The sequence below is a fragment of the Homo sapiens genome, chromosome 3, assembly GCF_000001405.40.
Source record: "Homo sapiens chromosome 3, GRCh38.p14 Primary Assembly".
NCBI classification, from domain to species: Eukaryota; Metazoa; Chordata; class Mammalia; order Primates; family Hominidae; genus Homo; species Homo sapiens.
The window spans coordinates 155525072-155550642 of record NC_000003.12 but is presented as its reverse complement, the minus strand read 5'-3'; the positions used below and the strand labels follow the sequence as shown (position 1 = coordinate 155550642).

At 40.8% G+C, this 25571-nt stretch overlaps 1 protein-coding gene across 20 annotated transcripts in view; it reads left to right on the top strand.

Moving 5' to 3' along the window:
* The window catches only part of PLCH1 (phospholipase C eta 1), a 294138-nt gene that overhangs the window by 194429 nt on the left and 74138 nt on the right, over positions 1–25571 (top strand). For all 20 annotated transcript variants that reach the window (XM_017005927.2, XM_047447747.1, XM_047447746.1 and 17 more), the window contains one exon: positions 685–856. In XM_017005927.2, the coding sequence (XP_016861416.1) occupies positions 685–856 (172 nt within the window). The remainder of the gene's footprint in view (positions 1–684; positions 857–25571) is intronic.

Here is a 25571-nt window from a genome sequence, read left to right as displayed (position 1 = left end):
TCTCCTTTCTGCCTTAGCCACCAACTCCTTTAGGTAATTATTTACATGGATCTCATGTTTTCTGTGCAGAAACCTGAGTGCTGGTGTAGAATGAATGCTTGGCTGGTTTTTATTTTTATTTTTTGACAAAGACTAGTATATAATTCTATCAAAGTGATTTTGAAATGTGCGACGTAGGATGCTATAAAACACAGAATTCCCTTATGTTATTTTATCCTCAATCATAATTTTCAAGGTGGGGGTTAATTATATATTTTAGAGTCAATAGCTTCATTTAATGACATTCAGTGGTCTCTTAGAAGCTGTTAGACTTTTGAATAAATAAGACAAAATTACATTATATGAGTTTACTTTCTTTAGACTTCTCATCTCTTTTAAAATTTTCTCTTCTTTTAAAAGAAACATAATATATCTACCATTGTTTCCTGATGCAAAATATTAGAAAAGCCATCCCATGTGGATTGGTATTTTGTTCATCCATTATGCTTAGCAAAGTATATTTGCTCAGAGGAATTTTTTAAATGCATTTCTAATCTTTCTCATTTTAGAAGCATTTTAACCATCATCAGTATCGCAAATACTGTCACTAGGATTGTAACAACACAGTGAATACTGAATCATTTTCAAAAGTCCCTGTGAGTTGCCTGCACCTGACGCCTCTGGACTGTGTTGCTCTTTTCTCAGGTTTCCTGTTATATTGTCTATCGAGAATCACTGCAGTATCCAGCAGCAAAGGAAGATTGCTCAGTACCTGAAAGGAATATTCGGAGACAAACTGGACCTGTCATCTGTTGATACAGGGGAGTGCAAGCAGCTTCCAAGCCCTCAAAGTTTGAAAGGCAAAATTCTAGTGAAGGTAATTACTTCAAGTAATGCAATAAAAGACATTCATTATCAGCTAAGCCTGCCCTCCCTTAAAGAATAAAAATGGGTTTCAAGGGAGAATAATAATTAGAATCAATATATGAAGGATTGTCTAGATCTATGTATGCGCCTTATTCCAATTTTTTTATAGTCGTGTCTTCAGAAGAAGCTTATTGTTGAGTGAGCACATATTCTGAGATTTGTACTTATGAAGTGGAAACATCAATACTGTAAGCCAAATGTTTGATATTTTAGTCTGTAATAGTTCACACTAGAGAGAAATGTGTGTGTAGGAGCGTGAGGTTCAGGAAAGGAGAAGGCTCCTTGTATCCATATCTGAAAGCAGTTCTTTCAGACTTTTTCTCCCATTTCAAGCTCCAATAACTGTCTGTCAAAAAAACCAAAAAAAACAAAAAGCTTCATGGTTGATCAGTCTTGGTTATGCAAGTGAGAAGAGCTCACTTCAAAGAGGAACACAGGCACAGACATAATAATGCCCCACAGGACTCATGTACGTGTGAAAGAGCAGTAGGTGAACAGAATGACATTTCATAAACAGATTTTCTGAGAGAGGAAGCTTACTACAATAAATATTATTCATGCAAAGAATAGCCAGAAAGACAGTTCTTTCAGTTTTCAGATCACTGACTTTGTGGTTTTACTTATTTCCAGTGAATTTTGTGTGTTTGTACTAAAACCACCTTGGGTGGCCACATCATTTTGTGATTAAAAATGTAAAGGAAAGCAATAGGGTATTAAAATTCAAACTGGGTTATATTTTACTTAAAAGAGGTGTGTATGAAAAAACAAATATATAGGAGGAGCAGGAAAGTCAAGGAGGCAATGTAATTTCATGGCAGGACTTCAACTGGGGCTTTAAGGGAGAGCAGCACATGGAAAAGATGGAACATATTCATTCTTAGAATTGGTCAAAACCTGTTTTCTACCAATTAAATAAAATTATAGATTCTGAATACATCAAAAAGGTGTTGCTAGGCATTTATATGCATAAAGGTATTTTGAATAAAAGCTCCACATAATGCAAGAGATAACATGAAGGCCAATTTGCCCAAGTCTTGCTAAAGCAAACTTTTATAGTAAAAATTGATTTGTGGGTTAGAAAATGAAATGTCATCTTTATAACCTTGTAAATGTTTCTACTTCCTAAATATTCTTTAGTCAGCAGTCAGGATGTTAAATGCAGAATAAATTCATTTGATTGAAATCTTTCTCCTTTGGACAGTGGAACTCACAGTGGATATTTAATGTGGACTAATTGAGTCTCCTTTGCATAACTGGGCTTTGAGTTATTTGACACAGAATATCCCAGGGCTTATGGCATCAGGATGAATCAGAGGCAGAAAGTCTGAGGCACTCATGGGAAAGGGTGGCAACAATGTGAACTGCAAGTATTTCAAGAGCATCTGAGATCCATTTGCTAGTAGTAATGTTGTTTAGACATTAAGGAGCTGCCTGGATCTGCGGACCAGCGCAACCCCATTTAAAGCAAAAACAAGGCAACTGATTTATTGTGTTCCTTTACTATCAGAGCAATCTCTGATTGAAAAGGCAGGATGTCTATGACTACTTACCACTTTGGAGATTGACAAGTTGTTTATTATTACAACTGTTACACACATATGTTCCAATCATGCATGCATACACATTTATATATGTGTAAATTTTCTGATAAAATACAGGCAAAGTTCATTTTTTAAATTTATTTTTATTTTATTATTATTATACTTTAAGTTTTAGGGTATATGTCCACAATGTGCAGGTTAGTTACATATGTATACATGTGCCATGCTGGTGTGCTGCACCCATTAACTCGTCATTTAGCATTAGGTATATCTCCTAAAGCTATCCCTCCCCCCTCCCCCCACCCCACAACAGTCCCCAGAGTGTGATGTCCCCTTCCTGTGTCCATGTGTTCTCGTTGTTCAATTCCCACCTATGAGTGAGAATATGCGGTGTTTGGTTTTTTGTTCTTGCGATAGTTTACTGAGAATGATGATTTCCAATTTCATCCATGTCCCTACAAAGGACATGAACTCATCATTTTTTATGGCTGCATAGTATTCTATGTTGTATATGTGCCACATTTTCTTAATCCAGTCTATCATTCTTGGACATTTGAGTTGGTTCCAAGCCTTTGCTATTGTGAATAATGCCACAGTAAACATACATGTGCATGTGTCTTTATAGCAGCATGATTTATAGTCGTTTGGGTATATACCCAGTAATGGGATTGGTGGGTCAAATGGTATTTCTAGTTATAGATCCCTGAGGAATCGCCACACTGACTTCCACAATGGTTGAACTAGTTTACAGTCCCACCAACAGTGTAAAAGTGTTCCTATTTCTCCACATCCTCTCCAGCACCTGTTGTTTCCTGACTTTTTAATGATTGCCATTCTAACTGGTGTGAGATGGTATCTCACTGTGGTTTTGATTTGCATTTCTCTGATGGCTAGTGATGGTGAGCATTTTTTCATGTGTTTTTTGGCTGCATAAATGTCTTCTTTTGAGAAGTGTCTGTTCATGTCCTTCACCCACTTTTTGATGGGGTTGTTTGTTTTTTTCTTGTAAATTTGTTTGAGTTCATTGTAGATTCTGGATATTAGCCCTTTGTCAGATGAGTAGGTTGCAAAACTTTTCTCCCATTTTGTAGGTTGCCTGTTCACTCTGATGGTAGTTTCTTTTGCTGTGCAGAAGCTCTTTAGTTTAATTAGATCCCATTTGTCAATTTTGGCTTTTGTTGCCACTGCTTTTGGTGTTTTAGACATGAAGTCCTTGCCCATGCCTATGTCCTGAATGGTAATGCCTAGGTTTTCTTCTAGGGTTTTTATGGTTTTAGGTCTAACGTTTAAGTCTTTAATCCATCTTGAATTGATTTTTGTATAAGGTGTAAGGAAGGGATCCAGTTTCAGCTTTCTTCATATGGCTAGCCAGTTTTCCCAGCACCATTTATTAAATAGGGAATCCTTTCCCCATTGCTTGTTTTTCTCAGGTTTGTCAAAGATCAGATAGTTGTAGACATGGGGCGTTATTTCTGAGGGCTCTGTTCTGTTCCATTGATCTATATCTCTGTTTTGGTACCAGTACCATGCTGTTTTGGTTACTGTAGCCTTGTAGTATAGTTTGAAGTCAGGCAGCGTGATGCCTCCAGCCTTGTTCTTTTGGCTTAGGATTGACTTGGCGTTGCAGGCTCTTTTTTGGTTCCATATGAACTTTAAAGTAGTTTTTTCCAATTCTGTGAAGAAAGTCATTGGTAGCTTGATGGGGATGGCATTGAATCTATAAATTACCTTGGGCAGTATGGCCATTTTTATGATATTGATTCTTCCTACCCATGAGCATGGAATGTTCTTCCATTTGTTTGTATCCTCTTTAATTTCCTTGAGCAGTGGTTTGTAGTTCTTCTTGAAGAGGTCTTTCATGTCCCTTGTAAGTTGGATTCCTAGGTATTTTATTCTCTTTGAAGCAATTGTGAATGGGAGGTCACTCATGATTTGGCTCTCTGTTTGTCTGTTATTGGTGTATAGGAATGCTTGTGATTTTTGTACATTGATTTTGTATCCTGAGACTTTGCTGAAGTTGCTTATCAGCTTAAGGAGATTTTGGGCTGAGACAATGGGGTTTTCTAGATATACAAACATGTCATCTGCAAACAGGGACCATTTGACTTCCTCTTTTCCTAATTGAATACCCTTTATTTCCTTCTTCTGCCTAATTGCCCTGGCCAGAACTTCCAACACTATGTTGAATAGGAGTGGTGAGAGAGGGCATCCCTGTCTTGTGCCAGTTTTCAAAGGGAATGCTTCCAGTTTTTGCCCATTCAGTATGATATTGGCTGTGGGTTTGTCATAGATAGCTGTTATTATTTTGAGATATGTCCCATCAATACCTACTTTATTGAGAGTTTTTAGCATGAAGCTTGTTGAATTTTGTCAAAGGCCTTTTCTGCATCTATTGAGATAATCATGTGGTTTTTGTCTTTGGTTCTGTTTATATGCTGGATTACATTTATTGATTTGCATATATTGAACCAGCCTTGCATCCCAGGGATGAAGCCCACTTGATCATGGTGGATAAGCTTTTTGATGTGCTGCTGGATTCGGTTTGCCAGTATTTTATTGAGAATTTTTGCATTGATGTTCATCAAGGATATTGGTCTAAAATTCTCTTTTTTGGTTTTGTCTCTGCCCGGCTTTGGTATCAGGATGATGCTGGCCTCATAAAATGAGTTAGGGAGGATTCCCTCTTTTTCTATTGATTGGAATAGTTTCAGAAGGAATGGTACCAGTTCCTCCTTGTACCTCTGGTAGAATTCGGCTTTGAATCCATCTGGTCCTGGACTCTTTTTGGTTGGTAAGCTATTGATTATTGACACAATTTCAGAGCCTGTTATTGGTCTATTCAGAGAGTCAACTTCTTCCTGGTTTAGTCTTGGGAGGGTGTATGTGTCGAGGAATTTATCCATTTCTTCTAGATTTTCTAGTTTATTTGCGTAGAGGTGTTTGTAGTATTCTCTGATGGTAGTTTGTATTTCTGTGGGATCAGTGGTGATATCCCCTTTATCATTTTTTATTGCGTCTATTTGATTCTTCTCTCTTTTCTTCTTTATTAGTCTTGCTAGCGGTCTATCAATTTTGTTGATCTTTTCAAAAAACCAGCTCCTGGATTCATTAATTTTTTGAAGGGTTTTTTGTGTCTCTATTTCCTTCAGTTCTGCTCTGATTTTAGTTATTTCTTGCCTTCTGCTAGCTTTTGAATGTGTTTGCTCTTGCTTTTCTAGTTCTTTTAATTGTGATGTTAGGGTGTCAATTTTGGATCTTTCCTGCTTTCTCTTATGGGCATTTAGTGCTATAAATTTCCCTCTACACACTGCTTTGAATGTGTCCCAGAGATTCTGGTATGTTGTGTCTTTATTCTCGTTGGTTTCAAAGAACATCTTTATTTCTGCCTTCATTTCGTTATGTACCCAGTAGTCATTCAGGAGCAGGTTGTTCAGTTTCCATGTAGTTGAGTGGTTTTGAGTGAGTTTCTTAATCCTGAGTTCTAGTTTGATTGCACTGTGGTCTGAGAGACAGTTTGTTATAATTTCTGATCTTTTACATTTGCTGAGGAGAGCTTTACTTCCAAGTATGTGGTCAATTTTGGAATAGGTGTGGTGTGGTGCTGAAAAAAATTTATATTCTGTTGATTTGAGGTGGAGAGTTCTGTAGATGTCTATTAGGTCCGCTTGGTGCAGAGCTGACTTCAATTCCTGGATATCCTTGTTAACTTTCTGTCTCGTTGATCTGTCTAATGTTGACAGTGGGGTGTTAAAGTCTCCCAATGTTAATGTGTGGGAGTCTAAGTCTCTTTGTAGGTCACTCAGGACTTGCTTTATGAATCTGGGTGCTCCTGTATTGGGTGCATATATATTTAGGATAGTTAGCTCTTCTTGTTGAATTGGTCCCTTTACCATTATGTAATGGCCTTCTTTGTCTCTTTTGATCTTTGTTGGTTTAAAATCTGTTTTATCAGAGACTAGGATTGCAACCTCTGCCTTTTTTTGTTTTCCATTTGCTTGGTAGATCTTCCTCCAACCTTTTATTTTGAGCCTATGTGTGTGTCTGCACGTGAGATGGGTTTCCTGAATACAGCACACTGATGGGTCTTGACTGTTTATCCAATTTGCCAGTCTGTGTCTTTTAATTGGAGCATTTAGTCCATTTAATTTAAAGTTAATATTGTTATGTGTGAATTTGATCCTGTCATTATGATGTTAGCTGGTTATTTGCTCGTTAGTTGATGCAGTTTCTTCCTAGCCTCGATGGTCTTTACAATTTGGCATGATTTTGCAGTGGCTGGTACTGGTTGTTCCTTTCCATGTTTAGCGCTTCCTTCAGGAGCTCTTTTAGGGCAGGCCTGGTGGTGACAAAATCTCTCAGCATTTGCTTGTCTGTAAAGTATTTTATTTCTCCTTCACTTATGAAGCTTAGTTTGGCTGGATATGAAATTCTGGGTTGAAAATTCTTTTCTTTAAGAATGTTGAATATTGGCCCCCACTCTCTTCTGGCTTGTAGAGTTTCTGCCGAGAGATCCGCTGTTAGTCTGATGGGCTTCCCTTTGTGGGTAACCCGACCTTTCTCTCTGGCTGCCCTTAACATTTTTTCCGTCATTTCAACTTTGGTGAATCTGACAATTATGTGTCTTGTAGTTGCTTTTCTCGAGGAGTATCTTTATGGCGTTCTCTGTATTTCCTGAATCTGAATGTTGGCCTGCCTTGCTAGACTGGGGAAGTTCTCCTGGATAATATCCTGCAGAGTGTTTTCCAACTTGGTTCCATTCTCCCCGTCACTTTCAGGTACACCAATCAGACGTAGATTTGGTCTTTTCACATAGTCCCATATTTCTTGGAGGCTTTGTTCATTTCTTTTTATTCTTTTTCCTCTAAACTTCCCTTCTCGCTTCATTTCATTCATTTCATCTTCTGTCACTGATACCCTTTCTTCAAATTGATTGCATCGGCTCCTGAGGCTTCTGCATTCTTCATGTAGTTCTTGAGCCTTGGCTTTCAGCTCCATCGGCTCCTTTAAGTACTTCTCTGTATTGGTTCTTCTAGTTATACATTCGTCTAAATTTTTTTCAAAGTTTTCAACTTCTTTGCCTTTGGTTTGAATTTCCTCCTGTAGCTTGGAGTAGTTTGATCATCTGAAGCCTTGTTCTCTCAACTCGGCAAAGTCATTGTCCATCCAGCTTTGTTCCGTTGCTGGTGAGGAGCTGCGTTCCTTTGGAGGAGGAAAGGTGCTCTGCTTTTTAGAGTTTCCAGTTTTTCTGCTCTGTTTTTTCCCCATCTTTGTGGTTTTATCTACTTTTGGTCTTTGATGATGGTGATGTACAGATGGGTTTTTGGTGTGGATGTCCTTTCTGTTTGTTAGTTTTCCTTCTAACAGACAGGACCCTCAGCTGCAGGTCTGTTGGAGTTTGCTAGAGGTCCACTCCAGACCCTGTTTGCCTGGGTACCAGCAGCAGTGGCTGCAGAACAGCAGATTTTCGTGAACCGCAAATGCTGCTGTCTGGTTGTTTCTCTGGAAGTTTTGTCTCAGAGGAGTACCCGGCTGTGTGAGGTGTCAGTCTGCCCCTACTGGGGGGTGCCTCCCAGTTAGGCTGCTTGGGGGTCAGGGGTCAGGGACCCACTTGAGGAGACAGTCTGCCTGTTCTCAGATCTCCAGCTGCGTGCTGGGAGAACCACTGCTCTCTTCAAAGCTGTCAGACGGGGACATTTAAGTCTGCAGAAGTTACTGCTGTCTTTTTGTTTGTCTGTGCCCTGCCCCCAGAGGTGGAGCCTACAGAGGCAGGCAGGCCTTCTTAAGCTGTGGTGGGCTCCACCCAGTTCGAGCTTCCAGGCTGCTTTGTTTACCTAAGCAAGCCTGGGCAATGGCGGGCTCCCCTCCCCCAGCCTCGCTGCTGCCTTGCAGTTTGATCTCAGACTGCTGTGCTAGCAATCGGCGAGACTCCATGGGCGTAGGACCCTCCGAGCCAGGTGCGGGATATAATCTCCTGGTGCGCCGTTTTTTAAGCCCGTCGGAAAAGCGCAGTATTGGGGTGGGAGTGACCCGATTTTCCAGGTGCCGTCTGTCACCCCTTTCTTTGACTGGGAAAGGGAACTCCCTGACCCCTTGCGCTTCCCGATTGAGGCAATGCCTTGCCCTGCTTCGGCTCGCGCATGGTGCACTGCACCCACTGTCCTGCGCCCACTGTCTGGCACTCCCTAGTGAGATGAACCCGGTACCTCAGATGGAAGTGCAGAAATCACCGGTCTTCTGCGTTGCTCATGCTGGGAGCTGTAGACCCGGAGCTGTTCCTATTCGGCCATCTTGGCTCCCCCACCAGCAAAGTTCATTTTATTGTATTTTACTTTATTGCATTTCACAGACACTGCATTTTGTGTGAGTGTGTGTGTGTGTAACAAATTGAAGGTTTGTGGCAACTCTATGTCAAGCAAGTCTTTCGGCACTGTTTTTCCAAAAGTATGGGCTCACTTTGTGTCTCTGTGTCACATTTTGGTAATTCTTGCTCTATTTAAAACTTTTTCATTATTATTGTATCTGTTGTGGTGATCTGTGATCGGTGATCTTTAATGCTACTATTGCAATTGTTCTTGGGAGGCATAATCCCTGCCTATATAAGATGGCAAACTTAATTGATAAGTGTTGTGTGTGTACTAACTGCTCCATGAACCACCTGATTCCCCATCTCTCTCCCACTCCTCAGTTCTCCCTGTTTCCTAAGACATAACAGTATGGAAATTAAGCCAGTTGATAACCCTACAATGGCCTCCAAGTGTCCAAGTGAAAGGCAACTCACATGTCTCTTACTTTTTAAAAAATATTTATTAATTTCAGTAGGTTTTGTGGGAACAGGTAGTGTTTGGTTACATGGATAAGTTTTTTAGTGGTGATTTCTGAGATTTTGGTGCACCTGTCACCTCAGCAATGTACACTGTACCCAGTGAGCAGTCTTTTATCCCTTGCCCCCTCCCACTCTTTCACCCGAGTCCCCAAAGTCTATTATATCATTCTTGTGCCTTTGTGCCCTCATAGCTTAGCTCCCACTTATAAGTGAGAACATATGTTTTGTTTTCCATTCCTGAGTTACTTCACTTAGAATAATGGTCTCCAGTTCCATCTAGGTTGCTGCAAATGCCATATTTCATTCTTTTTATGGCTGAGTAGTATTCCACGGTGTATATATGTATACCACATTTTCTTTATCCACTCGTTGATTGATGGGCATTTGGGCTGTTTCCATATCTTTGCAATTGTGACTTGTGCTGCTAAAAATATGTGTACAAGTGTCTTTCTCATATAATGACTTCTTTGCCTCTTGGTAGAGATGCAGGAGTGGTATCTACCAAGAGGAAAATATTTACTTTTAGTTCTTTAAGGAATCTCCACTGTTTTCCATAATGGTTGTACTAGTTTCCATTCCCTCCAGCAGTGTAAAAGTGTTCTGTTTTCACCACATCTATGCCAACATCTGTTATTTTTTGATTTTTTGATTATGGCCATTCTTGCAGGAGTAAGTTGGTATTGCATTGTGGTTTTGATTTGCATTTCCCTGATTATTAGTGATGTTGAGCATTTTTTCATATGTTTGTTGACCATTTGTATATCTTTTTTTGAGAATTGTCTATTCATGTCCTTAGCCTACTTTTTGATGGTATTATTTGTCTTTTTCTTCCTGATTTGTTTGAGTTCCTTGTAGATTGTAGATATTAGTCCTTTGTCAGATACATAGTTTGTGAAGATTCTCTCCCACTCTGTGAGTTGTCTGTTTACTCCACTGATTATTTCTTTTGCTATGCAGAAGCTTTTTAGTTTAATTAAGTCCCATCTCTTTATCTTTGTTTTTGTTACATTCACTCTTGGGTTCTTAGTCATGAAGTCTTTGCCTCAGCCAATGTCTAGAAGGGGTTTTTCCAGTGTTAACTTTTAGAATGTATATGGTTTCAGGTGTTATATTTAAGTCTCAGATCCATCTTGAGTTGATTTTTGTAGAAGGTGAGAGATGAGGATCCAGTTTCATTCTTCTACATGTGCTTTGCCAATATTCCAGTACTATTTGTTGAATATGGTGTCCTTTCTCCACTTTATGTTTTTGTTTGCTTTGTCAAAGATCAGTTCACTGTAAGTATTTGGCTTTCTTTCTGGGTTCTCTATTCTGTTCCATTGGTCTATGTGCCTATTTTTATATACCAGTACCATGCTGTTTTGGTGACTATGGTCTTATATTATACTTTGAAGTCAGGTAATGTTATGCGTCCAAATTTGTTCTTTTTGCTTAGTCTTGCCTTGGGTATGCGGGCCCTCTTTTAGTTCCATATGAATTTTAGGATTTTTTTTCCAGTTTTGTGAGGAATGATGATGGTATTTTGATAGGGATTACATAGAATTTATAGATTGCTTTTGGCAGTATGGTTATTTTCACAATATTGATTCTACCCATCCTTGAGCATGGAATGTGTTTCCATTTGTTTGTGTCATCTATGATTTCTTTCAGCAGTGTTTTGTAGTTTTCCTTGTAGATATCTTTCACCTCTTTGTTTAGGTATCTTCCTAAGTATTTTGTTTTATTTTTTGCAGCTATTGTAAAAGGGGTTGAGCTTGGTTGTTGTTGGTATATAGCAGTGCTATTGATTTGTGTATGTTGATCTTGTATCCTGAAACTTTACTGAATTCATTTATCAGATCTAGGAGCTTTTTGGATGAGCCTTTAGGGTTTTCTAGGTATACAACCATATCATCAGCGAACAGCAACAATTTGACTTCCTCTTTACACATTTGGAAGCCCTTTATTTCTTTCGCTTGTCTGATTGCCTTGGCTAGGATTTCCAGTACTATGTTGAACAGAAGTGGTGAAAGTGGGCATCCTTGTCTTGTTCTAGTTCTCAGGGGGAATGCTTTCAGCTTTTCCCTGTTCAGTATAATGTTGGCTGTGGGTTTGTCATAGATGGCTTTTATTACCTTAAGGTATGTCCCTTCTATGCCGATTTTGCTGAGGGTTTTAATCATAAAGAGATGCTGGATTTTGTTAAATGCTTTTTCTGCATCTATTGAGATGATCATGTGATTTTTGTTTTTGATTCTGTTTATGTGGTATATCACATTTATTGACTTGTACATGTGAAACCATCCCTGCATCCTTGGTATGAAACCCACTCGATCACGGTGGATTATCTTTTTGATATGCTGTTGGATTCAATTAGCTAGTATTTGGTTGAGGATTTTTGCGTCTATGTTCATTAGCGATATTGGTCTGTAATTTTCTTTTTTTTTTGTTATGTCCTTTTCTGGTTTTGGTGTTAGGGTGATACTGGCTTCATAGCATGATTTAGGGGGGATTCTTTCTTTCTCATCTTTTGGAATAGTTTCAATAGATTTGGTACCAGTTCTTTGCATGTCTGATAGAATTAAGCCGTGAATCCATCTGGTCCTGGACATTTTTTGTTGTTGTTGGCAATTTTTTTTATTAGCATTTCAGTCGGACTGCTTGTTGTTGGTTTGTTCAGAGTTTCTGTTTCTTCCTGGTTTAACCTCCGAGGATTGTATATTTCCAGGAACTTACCCATCTCCTCTAGGTTTTCTAGTTTGTGCATGTAAAGGTGTTCATAGTATCCTTGAATGAACTTTTGTATTTCTGTGATATCGGTTGTAATATCTCTCATTTTGTTTCTAATTGAGCTTATTTGGATCTTCTCTCTTCTTTTGTTGGTTAATCTTGCAAATGGTCTATCAATTTTGTTTATCTTTTCAAAGAACCAGGTTTTTGTTTCATTTATCTTTTGTATTTTTTGTTGTTGTTTCAATTTCATTTAGTTCTGCTCTGATCTTTGTTATTTCTTTTCTTCTGCTGAATTTGGGGTTGGCTTGTTTTTGTTTCTCTAGTTCCTTGAGGTGTGACCTAAGATTATCTGTTTGTCCTCTTTCAGACTTTTGACATAGGCATTTAATGCTATGAACTTTCCTCTTAGCATCACTTTGCTGTATCCCAGAGATTTTGAAAGGTTGTGTCACTATTATCGTTCAGTTCAAGGAATTTTTAAGTTTCCGTCTTGATTTCATTGTTGACGCAACAATTATTCAGGAGCAGATTATTTAATTTATATGTATTTGCACGTTTTGTGGGGTTCCTTTTGGAGTCCATTTCCAATTTTATTCCACCGTGATCCTAGAGAGTACTTGCTATAATTATGATTTTCTTAAATTCGTTGAGACTTGTTTTGTGGCCTGTCATATGGTCTGTCTTGGAGAATGTTTCCTGTCCTAATTAATAGAATATATATTCTGCAGTTGTTGGGTAGAATATTCTGTAAATATCTGCTAAGTCTATTTGTTCTAGGGTATAGTTTAAGTCCATTGTTTCTTTGTTGACTTTCTGTCTTGATGACCTGTCTAGTGCTGTTAGTGGAGTATTGAATTCTCTCACTATTATTGTGTTGCTGTCTACATTATTTCTTAGGTCTAGTAGTAACTGTTTTATAAATTTGGGAGCTCCAGTGTTAGGTGAATATATATTTAGGATTGTGATATTTTCCTGCTGGACTAGTTCTTTTATCATGGTATAGTGTCCCTCTTTGTTTTTTTTAACTGCTGTTGCTTTAAAGTTTGTTTTGTCTGATATAAGGATAGCTGCTCCTGCCCACTTTTTTTGTCCATTTGCATGAAATATCTTCTTCTACCCCTTTACTTTAAGTTTATGAGTCCTTATATCTTATGTGAGTTTTTTGAAGACAGCAGATATTTGGTTGGTGAATTCTTATTCATTCTGCCATTCTGTGCCTTTTAAGTGGAGCATTTAGACCATCTACATTCAAAATTTGTTTTGAGAGATAAGGTACTATTAGATTCATTTTGCTAGTTTTTTTTGCCTGAATACTTTTTTTTTTCTTCATTGTATTGTTTTATAGGCCCTGTGGGACTTATGCTTTATGGAGGTTTTATTTCGGTGTATTTTGAGGTTTTCTTTCAAGATTTAGCACTCCTTTTAGGTTTTTTTTTTTTTTTTTTTTTTTTTTTTTTTGGTTTTTTTTTTTTTTGTAGTGCTAGCTTGGTAGTGGCGAATTCTCTCAGCATTTTTGTTGCCTATGATCTGAAATTGGATTATTGCGTGTGTCTGAAAAGGACTTTATCTTTCCCTTATTTATCAAGCCTAGTTTTGCTGGACACAAGATTTCTTGGCTGATAATTATTTTAAGGAGGCTGAAGATAGGACCCCATTCCTTTCTAGCTTGTAGGATTTTGGCTGAGAAATCTGCTTTTAATCTTATAGGTTTTTCTTTATAGACTACCTAATGCTTTTGCCTCACAGCTGTTAAGATTCTTTCCTTCATCTTGACTTTAGATAACCTGATGACTATGTGTCTAGGTGATGATCTTTTTGTGATGAATTTTCTAGGTGTTCTTTGAGCTTCTTGTATTTGGATGTATAGATCTCCAGCAAAGCCAGGGAAATTTTCCTCAATTATTCCCTCAAATAGGTTTTCCACACTGTGAGATTTCTCTTCTTCCTGGGGAACACCAAGTATTCTTAGGTTTGTTCATTTAACATAATCCCAAACTTCTTCCAGGCTTTGTTCTTTTTTTAATTCTTTTTTCTTTGTCTTTGTCAGATTGGGTTAATTCAAAAGCCTTGTCTTCAAGCTCTGAAGTTCTTTCTTCTACTTGTTTGATTCTTTTGTTGAAACTTTCCAGTGTATTTTGCATTTCTCTAAGAGTATCTTTTATTTTTAGAAGTTGTGATTGTTTTGTATTGATGCCGTCTATTTCTCTGGATATTTTTTCATCCATAGTCTGCATTACTTTTGAATTTCTTTAAATTGTTTTCCACCTGTCTCTGGTGCATCCTTGAGTAGCTTAATTATCAACCTTCTGAATGCTTTTGCTGGCAAGTCAGGGATTTCTTCTTGGTTTGGATCCTTTCTTGGTGAGATATTGTGATCTTTTGAGGGTGTTAAAGAAACTTGCTTTTTCATATTGCCAGAATTGTTTTTCTGGTTCCTTTTCATTTGGGTAGACTACGTCAGAGGGAAGATCTGGTATTCAAAGGCTGCTGTTCAGATTCTTTTGTCCCACAGGGTGGTCTTCTTATGTGGTGCCCTCCCACTTCCTCTAGGCATGGGACTTCCTGATAGCTGGACTGTAGTGATTGTTATTGCTTGTCTGGGTCTAGCCACCCAGTGGGGCTACCAGGCTCCAGCCTGGTACTCAGGAATATCTGCAAAGAGTCCTGTTAAGTGATCTGTCTTCAGGTCTCTCAGCCATGGAGACCTGTTCTGGTGGAGGTAGCAGGGGAGTGAAGTAGACTCTGTGAGGGTCCTTGGTTGTTTTGTTTAGTGTGCTGGTTTTCTCGAATGCTGGTTGTGCTAGTTGTTGGTTATCCTCCAGCCAGAAGGTAGCACTTTTAAGAGATCATCAGCTGATACAAGCTTGCCCTAAGGTCACCTGGATACATATTTGGGTTTCTCAGCCAATGGGCAGGGCCATAGAGCTCCCAAGAGATTATGTCTTTTGTCTTCAGCTACCACGGTGGGTAGAGAAAGACCATCAGTTGGATGCAGGGTCAGGCGTGTCTAAGCTCAGACTCTTCTTGAGCAGGGTTTGCTGTCGCTGCTGTAGGGGCTGGGAGTGTGGTTCTCAGTCCAATGGAGTTATGTTCCCAGGGGGATTATGGCTGCCTCTGCTGCATCATACAGGTCACCAGGGAAGTGGGGAAAGCTGGCAGTGACAGGCCTCACCTAGTTCCCACTCAGCCAGCAAGGCCAGTCTCATTCCCACCACCAGCACCGAGTTTATATCCAGGCAGCTCATGAGTAGGGCTGAGATCTTGCCCCAGGCTACAAGCCTCCCCACTGAGAAAGCAAGCTGGCCTTTCAGGCCCCACCTCTCCCCACCTGCCATGGCCTCTGTGCTCCTATCTGCACTTCCTGTTTGCTCCCGTCACTGCCCCCAGATTCTGCCCATAAATGTTTACGCTTGGTTGTAATTATTACAAAGTTCATCTCAAAGTTTCCTTCTCCCTGTATTCTTTCCCCAGTTCTACTGGTAGCCTCCCCAAAGGCCCCTGTGAGACAGTCAGAAGTGGTTTCCCTGGGTACTGGGTGTGCCCACAGGGCTCTTCCTGCTGTTTCTTCTACCTTTATATTTTGCTCAGCTCTCTAAATTTGTTTCAGCTCTTGGTAAGGCCAAATCCTTCTCTCATTTTATTAGTCTGTTGTCATACTGCTATAAAGAAATACCTGACACAGAGAAATTATAAAAAGAGGTTTAATTGACTCACAGTTTCACAGGCTTAACAGGAAGCATGTCTAGGAAGCCTCATGAAACTTACAATCATGGCAGAGGGCAAAAAGGAAGCAGGCACCTTCTTCACAAGGTGGCAGGAGAGAGAAGGGTGAACAGTGAAGGGAGAAGAGCCTGTTATAAAACCATCAGATCTCATAAGAACTCACTATCATGAGAACAGCATGGGGAAACTGCCCCCATGATCCAATTACCTCCCACCAGGTCTCTCCCAAGAAATGTGGGTATTATGAGGATTATGATTCAAGATGATATTTGGGTGGGAACACAGCCAAACCATATCATTCTGCTCCTGGCTGCTCCCACATCTCATGTCCTCACATTTCAAAACACAGTCATGTCTTTCCAACAGTCCCCCAAAGTCTTAACTCTTTCCAGGCTTAACCCAAAAGTCCAAGTCCAAAGTCTCATCTGAGACGAGGGAAGTCCCTTCTGCCTAGGAGCCTGTAAAATCAAAAGCAAGTTCGTTACTTCAAAGATCCAATGGGGGTACAGGCATTGGATAAATGCTCCCATTCCAAAAAGGAGACATCGGCCAAAACAAAGGAGATACAGGCTCCATGCAAGTCCAAAATCCAACAGGGCACTCATTAAATCTTAAAGCTCCAATATAATCTCCTTTGATTCTATGTCTCAGATCCAGGTCATGCTGATGCAAGAGGTGAGCTCCTATGGTCTTGGGTGGCTCCACTCCTGTGGCTTTGCAGGGTACAACACCCCTCCCAGCTGCTTTCACAGGCTGGCATTGAGTGTCTTCATCCTTTCCAGGCACACAGTGCAAGCTGTCAGTGGATCTATCATTCTGGGGTCTGGAGGACGGTGGCCCTCTTTTCACAGCTTTACTACACAGTGGTCCAGTGGGGATTTTGTATGGGGCCTCCAACTCCACATTTCTCTTCCATACTGCCTTGAGGGCTCCACCCCTGTAGCATACTTCTGCCTAGGCATCCAGGTGTTTCCATACATCCTTTGAAATCTAGGCAGAGGTTCCCAAACCTCAGTTCTTGACTTCTGTGCACCTGCAGGCTCAACACCATGTGGAAACTTCCAAGGCTTGGAGCTTACACCCTCTGAAGCAATGGCCTGAGCTGAATGTTGGCCCCTTTTAGCCATGGCTAGGTTGTAGAGTACCAAGTCCCAAGGCTGCACAGAGCAGTAGCAGGGCCCTGGGCTTGGCCCATGAAAGCATTTTTTCTACCTAGGCCTCTGGGTCTGTGATGGGAGGGGCTGCCATGAAGGTTACTGACATGTCCTGTAGACATTTTCCCCATTGTCTTGGTGACTAACATTCAGCTCCATTTTACTTATGCAAATTTCTGCAGCTAGCTTGAATTTCTCCCCAGAAAATGGGTTTTTCTTTTCTTTCTTTTTTATTTTGAGATGGAGTTTCACTCTTGTTGCCCAGGCTGGAATGCAGTGGCATGATCTCAGCTTACTGCAACCTCCGCCTCCTGAGTTCAAGCAATTCTCCTGCCTCAGCCTCCCAAGTAGCTGGGATTACAGGCATGTGCCACCATGCCTGGCTAATTTTGTACTTTTAGTAGAAACGGGGTTTCACCATGTTGGTCAGGCTGGTCTCAAACTCCTGACCCCAGGTGACCCACCTGCCTTGGCCTCCCAAAGTGCTGGGATTACAGGCATGAGCCACCATGCCCAGCTGGATTTTTCTTTTCTATCACATCATCAGGCTGCAAATTTTCCAAACTTTTATGCTCTGCTTCCCTTTTAAACATAAGTTCCAATTTCAGATCATCTCTCTCAAGTTGAAAGTTGCACAGATCTCTAGGGCAGGGGCAAAATGCCACCAGTCTCTTTGCTAAAGCATAGCAAGACTGATCTTTGCTCCAGTTCCCAAAAAGTTCCTCATCTCCATCTGAGACCACCTCAACCTGGACTTCTTTGTTCACATCACCATCAGCATTTTGGTCAAAACCATTCAACAAGTTCTAGGAAGCCCCAAACCTTCCCATATCTTCCTATCTTCTTCTGAGCCCTCCAAACTGTTCCAACCTCTGTCTGTTACCTAGTTCCAAAGTCAATTCCACAGTTTCAAGTATCTGTATAGCAGTACCCGACTCTCTGCAGTACCAATCTACTGTATTAGTCAGTTTTCACACTGCTATAAAGAAATACCTGAGACTGGGTAATTATAGAGGAAAGAGGTTTAATTGACTCACAGTTTCTCAGGCTTAGCAGGAAGCATGGCTAGGAGGCTTCATGAAACTTACAATCATGGCAGAAGGTGAAGAGGAAACAGTCACCTTCTTCAGAAGATGGCAGGAGAGAGAAGAGTGAGTGTGAAGTGGGAAGAGCCCTTTATAAAGTCATCAGATCCTGTGAGAACTCATTCACTATCACAAAAACAGCATGGGGTATCTGCCCCCATAGTCCAATCACCTCCCCCCAGATTTCTCCCTAGTCACGTGGGTATTATGGGGATTACAGTTCAAGATGAGATTTGGGTGGGGACACAGCCAAACCATATCACCTGTGATCTAGAATTTCAGATTCCCCAGTGAGGATGTGTTTTCGAGGGTGGATCTTCCCTCCTCACACTTTGGCCACTCACAGTTTTTCAGCTGTCTCACAGAGCTTGGAACAGCAGTCTGCTTCCTTCAAAGGGTCTGTGAATTCTTTTGGTTTTCCTGGTATGTTCCTGCAGTAGTTCTTGTAGCACAAGTTCACGATGCGAGTCTTCACATGCTCTTCCATTGTCCGAGTGGGAGCTGCAAGTTAGTCCTGCCTCCTGGATGCCATTTTCCTCTGGCATCTCCACATTTCTCTCACTTTCAATCAAAAACTACAAATGATTAAGCTTAGTGAGGAAGATGTGTTAAAAGACAAGACAGGCTGAAAGCTGGGCCTCTTGTGCCCAAGAGTTAGCCATTTTGTGAATGCAAAAGAAAAATTCTTGAAGAAAATTAAAAGTGCTACTTCAGTAAACACACAATGATAGGAAAGCAAAATAGCCTTAACTTATTGCTGATAGAGAGAAAGTTTGAGTGGTCTGGATAAATGATCAAACCAGCTACAACATTCCGTTAAGCCAAAGCCCAATCCAGAGCAACTCTCTTAAATTTTGTGAAGGCTGAGAGAGGTGAGGAAGCTGCAGAAGAAAAGTCTGGAGCTAGCAGAGTTTGGTATATGAAGTTTAAGGCAAGAATCCATCTCCATAACATAAAAGTGCAAGGTGAAGCAGCAAGTGTTGGTGGAGAAGCTGCAGCAAGGGATCTAGAAGGTTTAGCTAAGATAATTGATGAAGGTGGCTACACTAAACAACAGATTTCTTTTTGGTTTTGGAGATGGAGTATCACTCTGTCACCCAGGTTGGAGTGCAGTGGCGCCATCTTGGGTCACTACAACTTCTACCTCCTGGGTTCAAGTGATTCTCCTGCCTCAGCTTCCCAAGTAGCTGGGATTACAGGCACGTGCCACCACGCCCAGCTAATTTTTGTATTTTTAGTAGACATGGGGTTTCATCATGTTGGCCAGGCTGGTCTCGAACTCCTGGCCTCAGGTGATTTGCCTGCCTTGGCCTCCCAAAGTGCTGGGATTACAGGCGTGAGCCACTGTGCCCAGCCTAAACAACAGATTTTCAATGTAAACAAAACAGCCTTATATTGGGAGATGATGCCATCTGGGACTTTAATAGCTGCAGAGGAGTCATTGCCTGCCTTCAAAGCGTCAAGAACAGGCTGAGTCTCTTGTTAGAGACTAATGCAGCTAATGACTTTAAGTTGAAGCCAGTGCTCATTTTTCATCCCCTAGGCTCTTAAGAATTATGCTAAATCTACTCTGCCTGCACTGTGTAAATGGAATAACAAAGCCTGATGACAGCACATATTTTTACAGCATGGTTTACTGAATATTTTAAGCCCACTATTGAGACCTACTGCTCAGGAAAAAAGATTCCTTTCAAAATATTACTGCTCATTGACAATGCACCTGGTCACCCAAGAACTCTAATGAGATGTATAAGTAGATTAATGTTGTTTTCATGCCTGCTACACAACATCTATTCTGTAGCTCGTTGTTCTATGTATAATTTTGACTTTCAAGTCTTATTATTTAAGAAATATACTTTGTAAGCCTATAACTGCCATAAATAGTGATTCCTTTGATAAGTCTGGGTAAACTAAATTGAAAACCTTCTAGAAAGGATTCACCATTCTAAATGCCATTAAGAACATTTGCGATTTTTTTTGAGGAGGTCAACAGATTATTAGCAGGAGTTTAGAAGAAGATGATTCCAATCCTGATGGATGACGTTGAGGGGTTCAAGACTTCAGTGGAGAAAGTCACTGTAGATGTGTTAGAAATAACAAGAGAACTAGAAGTGGAGCCTGTGGGAGACCGAGGTGGGCAGATCATGAGGTCAGGAGATGGAGACCAGCCTGGCTAACACAGTGAAACCCCGTCTCTACTAAAAATACAAAAAAATTAGCCAGGTGTGGTGGCAGGCACCTGTAGTCCCAGCTACTCAGGAGGCTGAGGCAGGAGAATGGTGTGAACCCGGGAGGCGGAGCTTGCAGATCGCACCACTGCACTCCAGCCTGGGCGACAGAGCGAGACTCCATCTCAAAAAAAAAAAAAAGAAGTGGAGCCTGAAGATTGCTGCAATCTCATGATTAAACTTAAATAGATGAGGAATTACTTATATGAATAAGCAAAGCAAGTGGGTTCTTGAGGTGTACAAAACCTTAGTTGATAAAGCATTAGGAAGGATTGAGAGCATTTACTCCAATTTTGCCAGAAGTTCTACTGTAGGTAAAATGCTGTTAAACAGCATCACATGCTGCAGAGAAATCTTTTGTGAAAGGAAGAGTCAATCAATGGAGCAAACTTAGTTTTTGTCCTATTTAAGAAATTGCTGGCCAGGTGTGGTGGCTAATGCCTTGGGAGGCCAAGGCGGGTGGATCACTTGAGGTCAGGAGTTCAAGACCAGCCTGACCAACATGGTAAAACCCCATCTCTACTAAAAAATACAAAATTAGCTGGGCATGGTGGTGCATGCCTGTAATCCCAGCTACTTGGGAGGCTGAGGCAGGAGAATCGCTTGAACCCGGGGGGCGGAGGTTGCAGTGAGCCGAGGTCGTGCCATTGCACTCCAGCCTGGGCAACAAGAGCAAAACTGCATCTCAAAACAAAACAAAACAAAACAAAAAAGAAGCAAATTGCCACAGTCACCTAACCTTCAGCAACCACCACCCTGATCAGTCAGCAGCTATCCACATCGAAACAAGACCCTCCGCCAGCAAAATGATTACAATTTGCCAAAGGTTCAGATGATCATTAGCTTTTTATAGCATTAAATATTTTAAATTAACGTATGTACTTTTTTTAGACGTAATACTATTGCACACTTAATAGGCTACAGTATAGCACAATTGTAACTTTTATATTCACTGGGAGACCAAAAAATCCGTGTGCCTCTCTTTATTGTGATATTCATTTTATTGCAGTGATCTGAAACCACACTCATAATAATTCTAAGGTATGCCTGTAAATAAAACGTTGCTTATGAAAAAAAAAAACAAATAGTAATTTTCGATAGACTCTTTTTGCTGAAATAACTTTAGCTGTGTGGTTCAAGGTTCCTGCTTTTACAGATGTGAATCGCGGAGTTGTTTGCATTCTCCTGGGGCTGTGCAGCCAGATATCTTGAAGCTGAGAAGTGACCATGCTTCCAGTCCAGTCTCTAGCAATATTTCCATATACCATAGACAAATTAATTCTAGAGTGTAACTTCTGCATGAAATATATGTAGATCAGAAAGGGACCTCTGGAAGACACCTGGATCATTCTTCATTTACATCAACATTGGACCACAGTTAAATTAGTTAGCCATATAAAGTGCTATCTAAATTTATTTTATAATTTTCCTTTGGAGTAACACCATTGAAAAGAGGCCTTGAAAAACAGTGTTCATTTGCATTGTTTTTCTCCCTATCTGCCTGTATAAAATATTTGCCAGCCTGGAAAAAGCTGACCAAAAATAGGGCTCTGATAATGCCAGGTCTTTTAATTAGATTTTTAAAGGACTGAAAATTAACCTGTCTTATGAATACTCTGAGAGGCAGCTTCTTCTTTTTGTTCCCTCACCTCATGCCACCCTCAGATGAAGGGGAATTGAAGCTTAGTTCTGTGTCCTTACCTGCTCAGCACCACCTGCTCATCACAGTTACACTTTCCTTTCTAGTCAGTGGTATCAGTGATGCATATCAGTTGAGGATTATTATTATTCTTTTCTTGGTGATGTTATTTTTCATATTTATTTCTATTCTGTAGAACATTTAAAAACATATGTTGGTTTTTATTCTATTTTATGCTGTTTCAAAAGAGGGAATTGCTATCACTACATTTTAAATGTCTTGTGTACAGTTTCATCTTGCTGTCTGCCATGGTACCTAAAACAAAGCAGATTCTGAATAAGTGAAGAAAGTTGATATCTTGATAGCTTGTTTCTGAGTATGTCTGATCACCTCTTAATTGAGTACCTTATTTCTGGTGCTGCCATATTATAACTACTCTACAAATGTTCCTAAAATAAAGAAAAATAGAAAAACTGATTTTTAGGAGCTTTCTATATCAATAGGACCTAAAATAATATACAGAAATAAATGCTTTGATTCTGAGCTGCCTTGTTATTAATGATACACAAATTAGATCCCAACTTTTTTTTTTTTTTTTTTTTGGTGGGGAGACGGAGTCTCGCTCTGTCGCCCAGGCTGGAGTACAATGGTGCAACCTCAACTCACTGCAACCTCCGCCTCCTGGGTTCAAGCAATTCTCCTGCCTCAGCCTCCTGAATAGCTGGGATTACAGGTGCCTGCCACCATGCCTGGCTAATTTTTGTATTTTTAGTACAGATGAGGTTTCACCATGTTGCCCAGACTGGTCTTGAACTCCTGATGTCAGGTGATCTGTCCTCCTTGGCCTCCCAAAGTTCTGGGATTACAGGCAGGAGCCACTGTGCCTGGCCCCAACATTTTTTTTTTTTTTTTGAAACGGAGTGTCACTCTGTCACCCAGGCTGGAGTGCAGTGGGACGATCTTGGCTCACTGCAACTTCTGCCTCCCAGGTTCAAGCGATTCTCCTGCCTCAGCCTCCCGAGTAGCTGGGATTACAAGTGCTTACCACCACGCCTGGCTAATTTTTGTATTTTTAGTAGAGACGGGGTTTCACCATGTTGCCCAGGCTGGCCTTGAACTCGTGACCTCAGGTGATCCACCAATCTCCCTCGGCCTCCCAAAGGGCTGGGGTTACAGGTGTGAGCCACCATGCCCAGCTGGCCCCAACTTTTTAATCTTACAAATTCCCTTCTGTAAGTTGAAGAAAATATTTGCCTAAATCCCAATTGTTTAGATTCTTAATGTAGATTATGCTTTCATTATATAAATGATTTACCCAGCTTTGAAATTGTCACTAGTGATAAGGACTCAAGGTCAAGAGCTTTGGGTATCAAGGAAGGTGTAGGAAAACTGAGAAAGACATTTCTCCGAAAATATGACTAAGCTGGTAGCCCTATGGAGGGAGGAAGCGGGTAAGGGGGGATCCAGAATTCTGAAAGGGGTAATAGTGCTGTGCAGAGCAGGAATACTTAAAGTCATTGAAGCTTGAGTTTAGAGATCAGCCTGGGATGATATTTAGAAATTTATCATTATTTTGGCTGTCAGGCATGTGAACATCCTTCCATGTTTAAGGAAGTCTCCATCCCTATGTTTTAAGAGATCCCCTTAGAGGAGCTCAAAGTTTGCTTTTGCAGCCTTTCTTAGAACTGGGATATGGGCCCCCCATCTAGAAGCCACCAATCAAGTGAACCTGTCCCAGACATTGAAGCAGAAACTACAGTAGGAAAGTGGGACCAAGTTGAACCCATCCTGGTGGGTGGAGGGAGTAGGGTGGACATGCTGGCAGCTACCTTTAGGGCCCATGACAGCACTTCTGGCAGTAGTTCCTGATGTCCATTGCGTGGATGATGGAGTGAAAGCCACTATCTCTGTGCTTAGTTGTGTTGGAAATGGTATCTTCAGTGGATTTGTTCTGCCCCATGATTTTGGTTGGTGCTTACGTTAGGTATCTATTGCTGCATAGCAAATTACCCCAACATTTGACAGCTTAAAACAAACATTGAATATTCCACAGTCCCTGTAGGTCAGGAACCTGGGTGTGGCTTAGCTGGGTCCTCTGCTCAGGGTCTCTCTTGAGGCTGTAATTAAGGTGTCCTCTGGGGCTGCAGTCATCTCACAGCTGAACTGAGGGAAGCTCTGCTTCCGAGATTCCTTTAGTGGTTGTTGTTGGCACATTTCAGTTCCTTTCAGGCTGTTGGCTACTGAGGCCTCTCTCACCTCCCTGCCATGTGGGTCTCTCCATAGCACAGCTCACGACACCAGTGTGTGTGTGTGTGTGTGTGTGTGTGTGTGTGTGTGTGTGTATGAGAGAGAGAGAAAGAAGAGAGAAAGAGAGAAGAGAGAGAGAAAAAGAGAGAGAGAGAGAGACAGAAGAGAGAGAGAGAAAGAGAGAGAGAGAAAGAAGAGAGAGAGAGAGAGAGAGCTCCAGGAAAGGAGAGAAGTTTGGAGAAGCAAGCAAGCAAGAAGGTATAGTGTTTCTATAACCTGATCTGATAAGTAACCTCCCATCACTTTTGCTGTACTCAGTTCATTAGATGTCGGGCACTAGGTCCAGGCCACGCTCAAAGGGAGGGGATTGCAGAAGGGTGTGAATACTGAGACAGGAGACATTGGTACTATTATTTAGAGGCTGCCTACTGCAGTCGCCTTGGCCTCTTAGCCTCAGAGCCTGGTTTTGTTCCACCTCCCACCCTCTGATTCTGGAAGCAATTCAATATTTTGGTAATAAATATTCCTTTCTGCCTGTAGTAAAAAGCCTTGCTAATACAGATAGCTGCCCTCGAAGCCTTTCTCAGACCCCTGGGCCTTACCCCCTGCTGTCCTTTTTAGTTTACATTTACTGTTTTTGAATATAATTTGGGAAATGCAGGAAAGGAGAATGTAAATTTCCCTCATAGTACTGTTATAAAGAGATAATTACCCTTAACAATTGACCATATTTATTTTTAGACTTTTTTGCTGTTTTTTAATCACTGAGATAATATTATATATATAATTCTATAACTTAACTGTCTTAATATCTTATAAGAATGTTCCCTGTCAAAAAGCCCCTCATTTTTAAAGTGTGTTGTTAGGTAAGTCAAGAGTGGCCTGGTCCTGGGGGAGGTGCTCAAGCTGGGCAGGAGTCTCGCTGCATTGTCTGTGAAAGAGGGGCTTGTGAAATGCAAAGTGAGGCATAAGTGTTAAGGACACATGTAACCTGCTTAGGTGAATAAGCTGCTCTGAGGGATATTAGCATGCTTGTTGTTGTCTTAGTTCCTTTGAGCTGCTATAACAAAACCACCTTGGACTGGGCAACTTGTAAACAACAGAATTCATTGCTCGTGGATCTAGATGCTGGGAAGTCCAAGATTAAGGTGATGGCAGATTTGGCGTCTGGTGAGGGCCTGTTTCTCATAGATAGTACCTACTATTTGTCCTCACGTGACAGAAGGGGCAAGGGAGCTCGTTGGAGCCCTCATGACTTAATCACTTCCCAAATGCCTCACCTCTTAATACTATCATATGGGTGAGGTATTAGGTTCTAATACATGGATTTTGGGGGACACCAGCATTCACACCATAGCAGTTGTACATAATGGGATGGAATGGTAGTTTGTTGTGAAGAGTCATCTATTCTTTCACTTTTTAATAAAAATAGAAATGGGGTCTTACTATGTTGCCCAGGCTGTTCTCAAACTCTTAGCCTCAAGCAATCCTCCTGCCTTGGCCTCCTGGAGTG